This window comes from Homo sapiens, chromosome 6 (genome assembly GCF_000001405.40).
Source record: "Homo sapiens chromosome 6, GRCh38.p14 Primary Assembly".
In the NCBI taxonomy this organism is placed as follows: Eukaryota; Metazoa; Chordata; class Mammalia; order Primates; family Hominidae; genus Homo; species Homo sapiens.
Genome location: NC_000006.12, coordinates 117,344,805 through 117,357,461, shown reverse-complemented (window position 1 = coordinate 117,357,461; position 12,657 = coordinate 117,344,805). Strand labels below are relative to the sequence as shown.

Below are 12,657 nucleotides of genomic sequence, written 5' to 3'. Positions count from 1 at the left end.
AGCATGCCTTGCACAGTAAAAGTTATTCTGTGCTCATCCATCTTAGTTTAACTAATATCCTCATAAGGTGAGCTTTAAAGTTTCCTTTTAGCACCTAAGTAGCAATTTCGCAGGCTGGAAAGATGGATTTCTGTTTGGGCCATAAGCATGGGGATAGGCTATTTGGAAACTAGATCATTAACTAGTATTAAGAAGCAGAAACAAACATGAGAGGAGGGGAATAGAGATGGACATTGATGAAAATTAGCAAATATATTTTATATTTCAGTTATTAAGTGGGCCTTTTAATATAGCACCTAAGGTCATTATATTCCAAGACTTTAGTTGTAAACACATCTATTGAGAAATCATTGGAAATGCTACAAGTTAGACTTCTTGTGACTTCTTCCATCTCAGAAAAAGGTTATTGAAAACTTGACCATGTTCTCTCCAAAGGCTCCATTTGTCCCTCACAGTCATTAGCAATAGTTGCTCTGCATTAGAAACCAATATTTGAAATGATGTATTTTACTCATTAAGTTGGGGGGACTTTTTTTTCCTCTATAGTCGCTTGTATTGGACAGAAGTTTCCAATTTTGGCTACCAGATGTTCTACTACAGTATTATCAGTCACACCTTGCACCGAATTCTGCAACCCACAGCTACAAACCAACAAAACAAAAGGAATCAATGTTCTTGTAATGTGACTGAATTTGAGTTAAGTGGAGCAATGGCTATTGATACCTCTAACCTAGAGAAACCATTGATATACTTTGCCAAAGCACAAGAGATCTGGGCAATGGATCTGGAAGGCTGTCAGTGTTGGAGAGTTATCACAGTACCTGCTATGCTCGGTAAGATGCTGATGTATGTGCACAGATATTTGTTAATAAGAGCAGCCCCTTCAACTGCATTTACAAAGGGCTTGCATTCCGCGTATACTCAAATATACACATGATATTTGCTCTGTACCATGCCAAGTGTTCTTGCAGAATTCAAATCAAGTTGTTTCCAGGAAAATTGTATGTAGGCATTCACATAATTTTCTAAATCTGTGTTTTAAAAAATTGTAATTAACAATAGAGCTACAATTTAATGAGCTTAACTGTATATTCTTAGCATGTACTAAATGCATTATTTTATTTAATCTTCATAATACCTCAGTGCAGTAGGTACTAATATCCTCATTTTACAGATGAGGAAACTGAGGCTGAGAAAAGTAAGGTAACTTTTCCCAAGGGCCACAGTTAGTTAGAAGGAGTTGAAACTGGGTCTAACTACAACATGCATGATCTTCCCACTATCCTAAATTATTTCCACTTTGATGATCCCATAGATTCCACTTTCAACATGAATTGGTCAATACCTGAGTCTATTTGTTGAAATTCAGATGCTTGTAGAATAAATATTCGAAAGTCGAGTACAATTTGGAAGTCTCCTAATTAGGAGTAATTCAACAGAAAAAAATATATACTCTAAATACCCCATATACTCTTAAAATTACTTTTCATTGCCCAGTGTGGTAATCACTAGCCACATGTGGTTATTTAAGTTTAAATTAATTGAAATTAAGGCCAGGTGCAGTGGCTCATGCCTGTAATCCCAGCACTTTGGAAGGCCGAGGTGGGTAGATCACTTGAGGTCAGGAGTTCAAGACCAGCCTGGCCAACATGGTGAAGCCCTGTTTCTACTAAAAATACAAAAATTAGCTGGGCACAGTGGTGCATGCCTGTAATCCCAGCTACTCAGGAGGCTGAGACAGGAAGACTCACTTGAACCCAGGAGGTGGAGGTTGCAGTGAGCCAAGGTGGTGCCACTGTACTCCAGCCTGGGTGACAGAGTAAGACTGTCTCAAAAAAAAAAAAACTAAAATTAAATAAAATTAAACATTTTAATCTCGCAGTCACACTAGCTAAACTTCAAGTGCTCAAAAGCCACAAATAGCTAATGGCCACTGTATTGGACAATGTAGGTATAAAACGTTTTCATCATCACTGAAATCTATTGGTCACTGCTGGATTATACAGTAAAGTTTTGAAATTGCAAATATGTGTGTATGTGTTATAATTGTATATAGGTTTTGTTGACATGTCAACCAAGGCCTTTTAGAAGCAATTCCTATGTTTAGAGGCCTTTTAGAAACAAGGCCTTTTAGAAACAATTCCTATCATTAAGTAGATTTAATGATAGAGGTAATGTTTTGAATGATTCCTCCTTAGTTATATTACTTGTTTCTGTTAAACCTGTGACAAAGACCTTTTCTTTGATCAAAATGTGGTTATGCTCCTCTGAGTCCTCTTCTTGACTAGGCCTCAGCCTTGGTCTTCATGTGTCCATCCTTGCTGAGTTCAGTTTTAGCAAGAATCCTACAAAGTCAGTTTAGGAGAACCCCCTACCACTGATACCTGATCAAGTTCTTCATCTCCCACCCTTGATGGACATTGGTCTGATTTAAGTAAGAATCCTGTTTAGGCTCTTGGCCTGCCTTTAGCAAGAATCCCATTAGGCTAATTTAATAAGGATTGCTCTATCCTGGATGCTGTCCCTGTATTTTTCCACCCAATGACTTCCTCACTCAGTTTCTTGGCTATAAAAACCCCAACTGTCTTTGCTATGTTGCAATATTTGTCTTTCCTAGTGCGCTATTGCACTTATCTTGACTAAAGTCTTTCTTACCATTTTAACAAGTGTCAGAATAATTTTTTTCTTTAATATTTGATACACAAGACACAAGAATTACCTAGTAGACCATTATATATGTATAAAACTGGTCAGTTTTTCATAAACCTGTAATTAAAATCCTAAAATTAGAAAATTAGAAAGATTTTAGGGATCATTTAGATGTTATGATGTTGCAAGAAATTTTTTCTTTAAAAATAGTCATGCTTAAACAACTGTTTCTTTAAAAAACCCTGCTACTTCATAAGGAAGTCTGTTTAAGCTTTTGGACAATTATGAATATTAGTTTTTTTCTTATATTTAGCCTGTCTTCTCTTCATTTCTCCCGTTCATTAGTCTTAGTTCTTACCTCTAAATTTACAAAGAATAATTTAATCACTTTCCACATGATAGCCATTCAACTATGTAGAGATAACTGTTGTAGCTCATTGTAAGCACTTTTTTTTTTTTTGAGACAGGGTCTCACTCTGTTGCCCAGGCTGGAGTGCAGTGGTGCAATCATGGTTCACTGCAGCCTCCATCTCCCAGGCTCAGGTGATCATCTTGCCTCAGTCTCCCAAGTAGCTGGGACTACAGGTGCACACTACCATGCCTCACTAATTTTAGTATTTTTTTTGTAGAGACAGGGTATTGCTATGCTGCCCAGTCTAGTCTTGAATTCCTGGGCTCAAGCAATCTGCCTGCCTTGACCTCCCAAAGTGCTGGGATTACAGGCGTGAGCCACCATGCTGGAATCAAGCATTTTCTTTGGAGGAAAAATTCAAGTATCTTCAATTGCTCCCCAGGCAATGTGGCATCTAAATCTTTGTCCTAGTCGCCCTCCCGTGATTTCATTCCAGCTAGTTAATATTCTCTTAAATATTGCCCCCATAAAGACACTGCACTCTCAATGTGTTCTTGTCAGTGAAGGGAGACTCTAACTATGAAGGTCTTCTTTTTGTTGTAGCCAAAAGTGGAATCAGATCTTTAGGATGCCTGCCATTGAAAGACCATAGTCTTTTCCACATTCATTATTATTAAGCCAGATCCCTTTCATTCGTTCATTTACAGAATTGATATGAAACTTAAATTTAGGATTTTACATTTGTTCGTATCAAATTTGAATCAATTTCCTGATTCTGTTATGATATTTTTGAATTTCAAGGCTGTAACTGAACCTGCTAGTGATGGTGATAATCATTTATTATCTGCAAAGTTGATAAATATGTTTACTATGCATTCATTCCAAACCACTGATAAAAATATTGAGAAATGCACTGAGCCCTATGCCTATCATTTAATATTTCCCTCAGGTTGGCATTATTTGATTTTGAGTCACATAGGTGGGTTTTAAATCCTGGGTCTGCCCTTTGGTGGCCTTGAGCAGATTATTTAACTCCTTTAAACTTCAGTTTGCCTTTCCACAAAATGAGGTTAGTAATAATAGTAGTTACCTGATTGGCTTGATATGGTGCTAAAATGAGAGAACATCTCTAAAACCCTTAGTCAAATGACATAAAATAAAGGTATTTTTTAATGTTGAAATAATAGATTCAAAATTTAGCAATTATAATATAGAAAAAATTTCATACATTTTTAGAGTAAAAAATGTAAGATATTAATTTTGTTCTTTATATTCCTTATGTTTTTAACAGCAGGAAAAACCCTTGTTAGCTTAACTGTGGATGGAGATCTTATATACTGGATCATCACAGCAAAGGACAGCACACAGATTTATCAGGCAAAGAAAGGAAATGGGGCCATCGTTTCCCAGGTGAAGGCCCTAAGGAGTAGGCATATCTTGGCTTACAGTTCAGTTATGCAGCCTTTTCCAGGTAATAAAGTCACATTCGTAATCAGCTTGTTCTCCCAATTTAGGGTCAGAAAAATCTCATAACATCTCCTTCTCCAAGGCTGTCCCTTTAGCCCCTTTGTTGTGCTCTCATCCTTGCTCCAAACTCTGCTAGTCTTCTGTGTGCACTGTGATTGCTGTTTGCCCTGGATCACAAATTACTTCTATGTGTAAACACAGCTCAGGGTGTGGTGGGCAACTTTAGACATGGGAAACCTGCGTCCTGTTGTTCTCTCTGCCTGGCCTCTTTCTCTTCTCAGTCCCATAATTTCTCTTCTTTCTCTTATTTCTCCTTTGCTGATATTTTAGGCCTCCCAGTGGTGTCAAAAAGCATTGCATACAACCTTGTTTTCAAGGTAACAGGTCATACTTCTGTTACTATGCAGTATGCAGTATTAGGTATCAAATCACTAAGTATTAATATATACTATTATAATATGTAGTACCATTTAACATGAGTAAGCCTGTGCTACCATTTTTATTAAGTTTTTATCTTTTTTAAAAAAAATGTCACTGATGAAGTTTTTAGTGTTATGCCCCTCATCCTACTTTTCCCATAAACTGTGAATTTTATTGTGTGATTTGTACAGTGCAATGATTCCTAGAAAGGCATGTATCATGTTATAGCAGAACTGACTATATATTTTCTACTGACAGTCATAATAAAACATTGTTGAAATCTAAAAACCATACAAACAAAAACAAAAACAGTATTGCCAAAAAAATTAGCCCAGCGTAGTGGCAGGTGCCTGTAGTCCCAGCTACTCGGGAGGCTGAGGCAGGAGAATGGATTGAACCTGGGAGGCGGAGCTTGCAGTGAGCCCAGATTGCGCCACTGCTCTCCAGCCTGGGCGACTGAGCGAGACTCGTCTGAAAACAAAAACAAAAACAGAATTGCATGGCCTCATTGGTATTTTGTCAAAGCCGTCTTTGCCACTAAGGTGCAAATATCATTCTAAATTAACTATAACTCTCCTCTGGAGAGGGACAGATATGAATGACATAAACTCTCTTTGTTTAAATGTTTTCAGTTATAAAATATGTAAATTGAAAAATGTTAAAATTTATAAATAAAGCCTACTTTGTATTTTTGTAAAATAATTTATTTTTCACTTTGAGAAATTTAAGAGATTTTAAAAGTTCATGTGGCTTCTGGTTTCTGGCCCAGAAGCTTAGAAATTGCCACTCCACCCAAAAACAAGTAAAAGTCTGAGCAAACTGAAAACTTAACAGCTCTTCTTGGATCCACAAGAGAAGTGAGGTCACAGAGCAAACTGCTGTCCCCAGTTGGAAAGACAGATTGGTAAATACAGAGAATTACAATTTACCAGAGCAAAAACCCATGAGCTGAAATCTTTTTAGAAAGCAGTGTTAGTGGTAGAAAAATCCAAACTGTAATTGATGAATTGCTTGAGGCTCAGTGTGGGTAACTCTGAGAGTTAGAAACTCGAGGGGCATCCTGTCATAGGAGGGCTTCATTTTATAAGTTTTACCTCCAGGAGCTTTAACTGGTTTTTTTCTTAGAGAATCTCCTTGTGCTTCCCACAGAGAGAAGGGAAAAGGAAAAATTTTGAAAGGCACCAGAGCATTCTGTTCTTCTTAACAAGGGCTGCATTCAAGATACACTAATCACAGCTGGACCTGCTCGGGTTTTATCAGAGCTTAATTGACCTGGGTAAAGAGAAGTGCCCAACCCCAGCCCACTCCAGCCGTCGTGTCCCACCTAAGTGGGGTGGGGGGACTGAAAAGAACCTGTGAAGTTCACAGTCGAAAAGCAAAGCAAAAACCCACTTGAAGTTAACTGAGATCTAATCTAAGACTATAAAATGCCTCCCCTTCCCCTACACCTTACCACCGCATTACTAAAGGCCCATTTACAGCAGTTGCTTTCACCCAGTACAGCATATTCAGCTATCAAGAAAAAATTACAAGGCATACTAAAAGGCATAAAACACAGATTGAAGAGATAGAGGAACTATCACAATCATTTAAATATGGCAGGGATGTTAGAATTATCAGACTGAGAATTTAAAACAACTATGATTAATATGCTAGGGGCTCTAATGGATAAAGTAGTCAGTATACAAGAACAGATGGTCAATGTGAGCAAAGATATGGATATTTGAGGAAAAAAAAGAAATGTTAGAGATAAAAACACTGTAACATGTGAGGAATGTTTGATGGGCTTAATAGTAGACTGGATGTGGCTGAGGAAGGAATCTCTGAGCTTGAAAATATCTCAGTAGAAACCTGCAAAACTATAAAGGTAAAAAAAAAAAAAAAAAGGAAAAAAACCGAAACAGAATATTCAAGAACTGTGGGGAAACTACACAAGGTGTAAGATAGGTATAATATGAATACTAGAAAAAGAAGAGAGAAAGGAACAGAAGAAATATTTGGAGGAAATATTTGAAAAATAATGACTGATAATTTCCCCAAATTAATGTCAGATACCAAACTACAGGTATGGGAAGCTCAAAGAATACCAAGAAGGATAAATGCCAAAATCTACACTAGGCCTATCATATTCAAACTGCAGAAAACCAAAGATAAAGAAAAAAAATTCTGAAAGAAGCCAGAGGAAAAAATACTTAACCTATAGAGGAACAAAGATAAGAATTATATCCAACTTCTCCTCAGAAACTATATAAGCAAGAAGAGAGAAAAGTAAAATATTTAAAATGTTGAGAGAAAAAAACACTAACCTAGAATTCCATACCCTGTGAAATTATCCTTCAAAAGAGAAGGAGCAATAAAGACATTCTCAGACAAAAATTGAGAGAATTTGTTATCAGTAGACCTGCTTTGGAAGAAATGTTAAAAGAAGTTCTTTAGAAAGAAGAAAAATGATATAGATCAGAAATGCAGATCTACATAAAGAAAGGAAGAGCATTAGAGAATAAATAAGTGAAAGTAAAGTAAAAGTTTTTCTTTTTCTTAACTGACCTAATGGATAATAGTTTGTTCAAAATAGTAATAGCAATAACATATTCAATTATATCCACTTATGTATGTATGTGTGCATATATATATGTGTATATTTATATTTATATTAAGCAAAATGAATCACAGCAGTGACACAAGGGATAGAAAAGAGGACTTGGGAGTATTTTGTTATTATAAGGTACTGCAAACCTGTGAAGTGGTATAGTGTTGTTTGAAGGTGGACTTGGATTAGTTGTAAATATACATTGCAAATTCAAGGGCAAATCACTGAAAAATATTTTTAGAAAAGTATAACTGATTCCCAAGAAAGGAGAGTAAATAGAATCATTTAGAATGCTCAAATAAAACCACAAAAGTCAGAAAAAAAGTGGAAGACAAAAGTAGGAACAAAGAACAAGGGCAACAAATGAAAAATAATAACAAATATGGTAGATCTTAATTTAACTATATTAGTAGTCACTTTGAACATCAGTGGTCTAAATACACCAACTAAAAGACAGAAGTTGTTTGAGTGGATCAACAAACAGACTCAACTATACATTGTCTATAAGAAACCCACTTTAAATATAAAGACACATCATATAGATCAAAAGTAAAGGGATGGAGATAGTATATCATGCTATCGCTAATCAAATGAAAGAAGAAACAATTTCAGACAGCAGACTTCAGAGCAAGGAAAGTTATAAGGGATAAAGAGGGACATTACATAATGATAAAGGGATCAGTTCTCCAAGAAGATGTAATAATCCTTAATGCATATATCTCTAACAACAGAGCATCAAAATACATGAGGCAACAACTGATAGAACTGCAAGAAACAGATGAAGCCACTATCACCATTGAAGACTTCACGACATCTATCAGAAATGGGCAAATCCAGCAGAAAAAAAATCACTAAGGATATACTGATGAACTCAATAACACCATCAATTAATTGGCTGTAATGGACATCTATCTACTATTAATAATTTTTCCAACAACAGCAGAATAAACATTCTTCTCAAGCTCACATGGAACATTCACCAAGACAGAACATAAAATACACTTCAACAAATTTAAAAGAATAGAAATCATACAATATCTGTCCTCAGACTACAATGCCATTTAACTAGAACTCAATAACTGAAAGATAGCTGGAAAATCTCAGAACACTTGGAGATTAAACAACGTATTTCTAAATAACAAATGGGTAAAAGAAGAAATCTCAAATTAAAAATATTTTGAACTAAAAATGAAAACAAAACATCAAAACTTACGGGAATCAGTAAAATCAGTGCTTAGAGGGAAGTTTACAGCACTGACTGCATGTATTAAAAAAATAGATCTAAAATTATTTAAGCTTTTACTTTAGGAAACTAGAAAAAGAAGAGTAAATTAAGTCCCAAATAATAATAAGAAACAAAACTAAAACAAAAGAAAAAATAAAAAGGAAGTATAGTAGAAATCAATGAAATTGAAACAGGAAATCAATAGAGAAAAATCAATGAAGCCAAAAACTGGTTCTTTGAAAAGATAAATAAAATTGATAAGCCTCTAGCCAGGCTAAGAAAAAAAGAGAGTGGATGCAAATTGCTAATAGTAGAAATGAAGGCGGGGACATCTCTGTAGAACCCATGGAGATTAAAAGGATAATCAAGGAATACTATTAACAACTCTATGCTCACAAATTTAATAACCTAGATGAAATGGACCAATTCTTTTAAAGACACAATATGCCAAAACTCACAGAAGAAGAAATAGACAATCTGAATATGTCCACATCTATTAAATAAGTGGAATCAATAATTAATAGCCTTCTGAAATAGAAAGCACCTGGGCCAGATGGATTCAATGATGCATTCTATCAAACATTTATGGGAAAATTATACCATCTCTACAATGTCTTTCAGAAAATTGAACCAGAGGGCCTACTTCCAATTAGGCCAATGAATGAGTTTATTCTAGGCCAGAATTACCCTAAAACCAAAACTAGACAAATATATTACAAGAAAAGAAAATTTTAGACCGGTGTCTCTCTTGAATATTGCAAGAATTGCAAAAGTCCTGAACAAAATATTAGCAAATCAAATCGAGCAATATATTAAAATAGTTTTATATCACAGTCAAGTGGGATTTATCCCAGCTATGCAAGTTTGAGTCAACATTTGAAAATCAATTAATGTAGTCCACTATATCAACAGACTAAAGAGGAAAAATCAGGCGGTCACATTGATAGATGCAGAAAATGCTTTTGACAAAATTCAACACGGATTCAGGATGAAAAATCCTCAGCAAACTAAGAATAGGGGTAACTTCCTTGAGAAAGAACATGTATAAAAAAACTTGTTGTTAACATCATTACTTAATAGTGAGAAATTAGAGGCTTTCTCACTAAATCAGAAACAAGGTAAGGATGTTCCCTCTCCCAATTTCTTTTCAACACTGCAGTGGAAGTCACAGCATGCAACAATACAAGAAAAGGTATACAATACAAGAAAAGGTATACTGATTGGGAATGAAGAAATAACGCTGTCTTTGTTCACAGATGACATGATCATCTATGTAGAAAATCTGAAAGAATTGACAAAAAGACTCCTGGAACTCATAAGTGATTATAGCAAGTTTGCAGGACACGAGGTTAATATACTAAACTCAATCACTTTCCTGTATACCAGCAATGGACAAGTGGAATTAGAAATTAAACACACAGTATCATTTACATTAACACCCACAGAAAATGAAATACTTAGGTATAAATCTAACAGCATATGCACAAAAATCTATATGAGAAAAACTATAAAACCCTGATGAAAGAAATCAAAGTGCTAAATAAGTATAGAGATATTCCATGTCATAGATAGGAAGACTCAATATTGTCAAGATGTCATTTCTTCTCAACTTATCTATAGATTCAATAAAATCCCAATGAAAATCCCAGCTAAAGTTATTTTGTAGATATTAACAAACTGATTCTAAAGTTTATATGGAGAGGCAAAAGACCTAGAATAGGTAGCTATCACAGTATTGAAGGAGAAGAACAAAGTTGGGGAAGGCTGATATCAACTATATGACATTCTGGGAAAGTAAAAAACTATGTAGACAGTAATAAGATCACTAGTTGCGAGAAGGCTGGGGGAAGAAGTGGCGAATAGACAGAGCAGAGAGGACTTTGAAGGCAGTGGAACTATTCTATGTGATACTATAATGGTGGATACAGCTCATTACACATTTGTCCAAACCCGTAAAATGTACAATACAAAACTGAACTCTAATGTAAACTATAGACTTTGGGTAATAATGATGTCATTGTAGGCTCATTGATTGTAACAAATGTACTACTTTGGTAGGGGTATTGATAATGGGGGAAAGTTATGCATGTGTGGAGAAAAGGAGTATCTGGGAAATCTTGGTACATTCCTCTCAATTTTGCTGTGAATCTAAAACTGACTAAAAAATAAAGTCTTACCAAAAAAAAAAGACGTCCATGCAGTATCTGAAGTTGAACGACACACACACATATCCTCCTCCCAGCCACATACACAAACACGCTCCAAAATGAAGTCCCAAGAGTGGCATGAGTTTTTTTTTTAAACTGGAACTCATTAAGAGTATGATTAATACTCATTATTTTCTTTAAAAAATGGAGTCTATTTTATGTTGCTAGTTTCTAGGTACATTATTAAGAATACTTTACCTCCATCTGCTGGAAATTTTAAGCAATTACAAGTTATCTTGGTCCTTTTTTTCTGAAGGTATTCAATTATCTTCAAAATGTATGGGATAAAAAAAAAAATGTAAGGGAAAAACCTGTCTTTCTGTCCTGAATAATGTTTCTGACACTTCAACATGTCATATTATATCAATTAAATAAAAGAACGACAAAATTACCAATGACTTTTGAATTAGATAATTGCTCTGATTGCTCACATGTGTATCCCATTCTCTGTTCAGATCAGAAATCAGTACAAACTGAATATATTGGATAAATATTGGTTGAACTGAAGAGTGGTTCATCTTGTAACTTTAGTAAGGTTATCCATCTCTAAACCCCCATACTTTCCAAATGTCCTCAAACTTAGGTTCACAGTGCCCTTGACACTGTTGTTGGAGATTTTCGATGTACTTCTAATTTTAAACATTTTTTCCTGCATTTTGGAATTCATATTTGGAATTCCCAGACCAGACCAGCATTATTTTCTCTAACTTTTCATTTTAGTCTCAGTAATGATGATAGTAATAGCTAACATTTATTTAATGTTCTTACCATGTGCTAGGGATAGAGTGATATATAAATATCTGTAAAGCAGGCCATTGTCTCTGTTTACAGAAGAGCTGGAGTAACCTTCCCAAGACAAAAAAGTTAGCAAGTGAAGGAGCTGGCTTCATCAAGTTTTTGTCACTTAGACATTTACCCCCTAATTTTCTTACTTGCTGAATGCAAAGGTTGTATTTTATATGTGGCTAATATGAATTCATAAGGATCGACAACACATACTAAATACCTAATATATGTCAGGCACCCTCCTGGGGCTCTGGTGGAACAAAGATAATTCAAGCACAGTCTCAGCCAAAGATAGTTACATTCTAGTGCTAGATGAAGAAAAGAAAGCAGCAAAAGAAAACCAAAACCAAAATCACATGTGGCTAGTGCACTGGTAGAAGAACACGTGAAGTGGAGTGAGGACAGAGAGGAGATGTCCTTCACCTGGAATAGGAAGGCAGAAAGGGCTTCCCAGGAAAAATGATGCATGAATTGAGGCTTAAGTAAGGTTAGGCAGATGGGGAAGATCATTCCAACCTGAAGAGACTACCTATGTGAAGGGTTGGAGGGGTAGAAGTCCTGCAGTGTGTAGATAGTGTACTGTGGTTAGAGTGAAGGATGGCTTTGCATAGCAGAGACTGGATATGCGGGCAGGAGCCAGATTGCACAGTGCCACGCACAATGAGTTAAAGAGTTGGCTAACTGGTGTAAGATTGTTAGATTTCATATTAAAATCATATTTGGAGTTATTTGCATATTATGTAATTATGCTACATTTTTAGGTGATGTTTTACATAAAGACTGAGAGTGAATAGGTCAAGAAGTTGTGTTCAGCTGCAAGTGACAGATCTGCGATTTTTCGAGGCTTAAGCCTGCGGTATGGTTGCGCTACTGCACTGGTCTAGAACAGACCATTTCCATTGTAGTCTCTGTGACTGGGGCTCCCTGGAGTTGTGCAGCGTGCAAGGTGTTTGGTTGTAAG

The 12,657-nt window shown here is 35.7% G+C and overlaps 1 protein-coding gene across 17 annotated transcripts in view; it reads left to right on the top strand.

Annotated features, from left to right (window-relative positions):
- Nucleotides 1-12,657, top strand: part of ROS1 (ROS proto-oncogene 1, receptor tyrosine kinase) — a 138,590-nt gene that overhangs the window by 68,481 nt on the left and 57,452 nt on the right. For 13 of the 17 annotated variants that reach the window (XM_017011173.2, XM_017011172.2, NM_002944.3 and 10 more), the window contains 2 exons: nt 547-833; nt 4,293-4,472. In XM_017011173.2, the coding sequence (XP_016866662.1) occupies nt 547-833; nt 4,293-4,472 (467 nt within the window). Of the gene's footprint in view, nt 1-546; nt 834-4,292; nt 4,473-6,037; nt 11,302-12,657 lie in introns of those variants that run through there. The other 4 variants (XM_047419232.1, XM_047419231.1, XM_011536058.3 and 1 more) reach the window with 2 other exon arrangements.